Source organism: Homo sapiens, chromosome 6 (assembly GCF_000001405.40).
Source record: "Homo sapiens chromosome 6, GRCh38.p14 Primary Assembly".
Classification (NCBI taxonomy): Eukaryota; Metazoa; Chordata; class Mammalia; order Primates; family Hominidae; genus Homo; species Homo sapiens.
This window is the reverse complement of record NC_000006.12, coordinates 110,490,679-110,495,057: the sequence shown is the minus strand read 5'-3', so window position 1 is coordinate 110,495,057 and position 4,379 is coordinate 110,490,679. Positions and strand designations below refer to the sequence as shown.

The 4,379-nt window shown below is 43.0% G+C and overlaps 1 annotated feature.

Annotated features, from left to right (window-relative positions):
- Positions 1,446–1,646: a silencer, noted in NCBI's record as "peak6024 fragment used in MPRA reporter construct". NCBI's record gives its function as "represses an SCP1 promoter by STARR-seq MPRAs in K562 erythroleukemia cells {active_cell/tissue: K562}" and the evidence as "EXISTENCE:reporter gene assay evidence [ECO:0000049][PMID:32103011]".

Here is a 4,379-nt window from a genome sequence, read left to right as displayed (position 1 = left end):
CTAAAGAGAATTGGAAGCAGCAGGATGGAAGAGAGGTGGAGGGAAATGGGAGTCAGAAAATAAACGTCCTTTTAAGAAAGGCCATCATAAGAGCAGTGCAGGTGTTCCAGCGAGGCAAGAACCAGGGTTAGCTTTGTTCCTTAGATGACCCACGCTTCATTCCTTACTTTGTCTTTTCTTAGAGGACACAGGGTGAGATGACCAATGACATAGGCTGCATTGTTCCTTTTGGAATTGTGCAGTGTTCCCAGTTCAATCTTCCTCATAAGCGGGAGTGAGGCAGTGGTGCAGTGGTGGTGCTGCCATGGCGGTAACAGCAGCTGCCCAGCAGCTTCCTGATCTCTGGGTTGAAACTCTGGTGGTGTGACCTTGAAACCAGTACTCATGTTATGACCCCTGACTTCTCCTCCAGCTCTTCCAACAATGTTGAAAGCATATAATTATCTTACTTATATCCCTCTCTGCTTGAAATACTTAGAGGGGTTTCTGTTTCCACTACTTAGCTCTGATGAATACACATAGCATATAAAAACAAGCATATTAAATACTAGTTTTAAATTGGGCATGGTCACACTGCTATAGTCCCAGCTACTCAGGAGGCTGACGTGGGAGGATTGCTTGAGGCCAGGAGTTTGAGGCTGCAGCAAGCTATGATTGCACTGTTACCGGTGGAAGATATCAGAGTTACTGGTGAATCTGTATGGGTCTGCAGCAACCTCAGTTCTTCCTTTCTCAGAAGAAAGAATTCAACCGAGGAGCATAAGGCAGAAAAAGAAACTGAGGCAAGTTTCAGAGCAGTTTATTTAAAAAGGCTTATTTAAAAAAAAAAGGCTTTAGAACAGGAAAGAAAGGAAAATTCACTTGCACCCAAACAGGCACCTGAAGGTCAAGTGCAGTGTTGAACTTTGATCCTAGGACTTTATAGGCTGGCCCCTTTCCCATGATTCTTCTCTCAGAGTGGGCTGCCCGCATGCACAGTGCCCTCCTTATCCTTGGGAGATGAGCATTCACAGTGCTTAGGAAGTTGTACACATGCCCATCTGAGGCTTTCTTCCCTTTTCTGGTGGAGTGCCCTCAGAAGGTCATCCTTTGCCATTTTGTCTCCCTTTTTTTTTTTTTTTTTGAGTTGGAGTTTCACTCTTGTTGCCCAGGCTGGAGTACGGTGGTGCGCTCTTGGCTCACCATAACCTCCGCCTCCCGGGTACAAGTGGTTCTCCTGCCTCGACCTCCCGAGTAGCTGTGATTACAGGCTTGCACCACCACGCCCGGCTAATTTTGTATTTTTTTTTTTTTTTTAGTAGAGATGGGGTTTCTCCATGTTGGTCAGGCTGGTCTTGAACTCCCAACCTCAGGTGATCCGCCCGCCTTGGCCTCCCAAAGTGCTAGGATTACAGGCATGAGTCACCGTGCCTGGCCTCCATTTTATCTCTTAATGCACATGCCCAGGAAGTTGTGTCTCCCTGGTGCCTGCGCTCAATTAACACTTCAGTGCAACAGGTGCAGGCCATCAGGACATGGCTTCTCCCTGGTGCAGGCTGCCAATGTATCCCTTTTAGAGAGGCAATGTGATCATTGCCAAAACATCACCTGACATTCCTAGCGGGTGGGGGAAGAGCCCTCTCCAGCCCCACTCATGCTTGTCTAACTACCTGTAACAGCGCTACTTGCACTCCAGCAGCCTGAGTGATAGAGCAAGACTCCATCTCTTTTTAAAAAAGGAATTTTACAATGTGAGTCAATTTATTTAGAAAATTATAGCGATATGACAGATATGAAGGTGGTCATCAGTGGTGGGATGCTGAAGTGTGGGAAACACTGGTCTTATTTAATAATCATAACCAGGTAGGCACTATTGTTACCTTCAAGAGAAAGAGAGGCTAAATGAATCCCTCAGGATTACATAGCTGTTAGGTAGTGTTTCTGACTCCACAGCTCACTTTCTGAAGCTGGAGAAAGGAGTTGGAAATTATTTGGTTGTCATCAGAGACCAAACATCAAGTGGCACTGTAACTGCATCCTGAAGAATGAATAGGATTTATCCAGTGAGGTAGGGAGGGATTTCCAGGCTGACAGGCTGACATGGACAAAGGTGTGGTGGTGTGAGTGGGCACCATGCATCATGGGAACTGACGGAGCCCTGCAGTTCTAGAGCAGAGGAGTTGTATGGGAACGTGACTGGAGGTGATACCTGAGAGGGGAGCAGGAATCTAGTCCTGGGAGTCCTTCAAAGCTATGATGAGGAGATGACGCAATTCTGAAAGCCAAGGAGCCATGGGAGGATATTAGACAGGGTGACCTATTCGCATGGGAATCTTAGAGAGTTACTTCATTCGGTGGAGAGCTGGGGCTTAGGATCTAAGCCGATGAGGAAGAGGTGGGCTGAGGAGCCTGTAGGTGTGTGATGAGAACTGAAACAATTTCCCTCCACACAGCTGGCTTTCTACATTGACATCATTTTACTATTGCGCTGTCTTCATTAACATGACTTTACTATTCCAGGAAACTCTTTCCCAGAAAGATATATGTTACAAATACCTTGTGGTTCATTTCAGGAATTTCCCAAACTCATTTAAATGAATATCAAATGGTTAAACTTTTCAGTAGAAAGTGTGAAACAACAGTTTGCTCCCCAGAATCTTTTGAACCCCTTGCCTCAAAATCCCCACCTCACTGTGTCCTCCAATCCTAAACTCATATCAAGATCATTATCAAACCCCAATCCAGCCCCTCCGTTGAAATACCTGCCTGGAACCAGACTCCAAAACCTCATCTCCTTTCGTCCTCTGCTTTCTGAACACTATTAAGACTCTGGCAAGTAAGTAGTTTCCCTTACTGCTGTGAGGCTTGGCTTTATCAAGTAGTAGTGAAACTGCCTTTGCAAAAATTATGACAGTGAGAGAAATCTGATATAGCTGGCGTCATCTGGCTTCTAGCCTCACAAGCTAATCCCCTTTGTTAACTGTAAAACAAAGAGAATAACAGCCTCTTCTAATAACAGCCAAAACTAATATTCTCCTTGCCCAGGAACTGAAACAGTCTTTGTAAGACTCCTGAAAGTCCCCAAGATTAGGATTATGGGAGGGGCCTGAATTCTGCTAAAATGTAGGCGTAGTTAAATGATTAACAGCTATTGTTCCCTAGCTTGCTTTTCTGTAAATCCTTACAGCTCAAGAGTAACGTAGCTGGTAGCTGAAGGGCACAAGATCTGTAACTTCCCCAATCCCAATTGCTCCTACAGATAACATCATTATTGTCAAAACCTAAAATTGATCTTTGAGATATTTTTCAGACTTTTGTATTCTGGCAACCAACTGACTCCACCTGGACCCGTGACTCATACCAAGGAACATGACACCCACACAGAAACTCCCATCCAGAAACAAACTCAGCATGCGAAGACACTTCGGACACTAACATATTTCATTCCCAATCAATCAGCAGCACCCATTTCTTAGCCCCCTGCCTGCCAAATTGTACCTAAAAACCCTAGCCTCAGAGCTTTTGGGGAGGTGAATTTGAGAAATGTTTCCTGTACTTCTGCTCGGTTGGTGATAATTAACATTTTTTTTCTAATTTTTTTAAAAAAATCACTTGGATCACTTGAGGTCAGGATTTTGAGACCAGCTTGGCCAACCTGGTGAAACCCCATCTCTATTAAAAATACAAAATTAGTCGGGTGTGGTGGTGTGCGCCTGTAATCCCAGTTACTCAGGAGACTGAGGCAGGAGAATCACTTGAACCTGGGAGGCAGAGGTTGCAGTGCCAAGATCACACCATTGCATTCCAACCTGGGCAACAGAGCAAGACTCTGTCTCAAGAAAACAAAACAAAACAAAACAAAAACAAAAACAAAAACAAAAAACCACGGTTGACAAAGAAATTTGTTACCTCTGTAGCACACAATAATTTAACGTAACAGTTATTACTGATAATGTATACTAAGTCCTACCAGAATTATAGGAGTTTCACATAACTTTTGAACACATACCAGTAAGATACTTCTACAAATACAGCCCAAAGAAAGTCAAACATTATTTCATATTTGACAATGCTTCCTGTATAATTTTTATGCCAAATAAGCCAAATTATGTTATTTTTGGACTTTAGGAAACCTAATATCTTAAAAGATTAATTAAGTCAGAAAAAGACATAATTTATAATTTTTGTTAAAGAGCAGATCAGTGCTCTAAGAAAAACCGGTTGTGCTTTTATTCCAATATTCAATTTATTGAAAAACTGAAGATTAATTCCTTTAACTTTAGCCAATATGTTCACACACATAATTTCTTTTGTAAGACCAATTTTTCAGAAACCTTCCAAAAAGTCAAAGAAGCAGTTCATTACCTTAAAGCATTTAGCAAACCTAATATATGACCTGC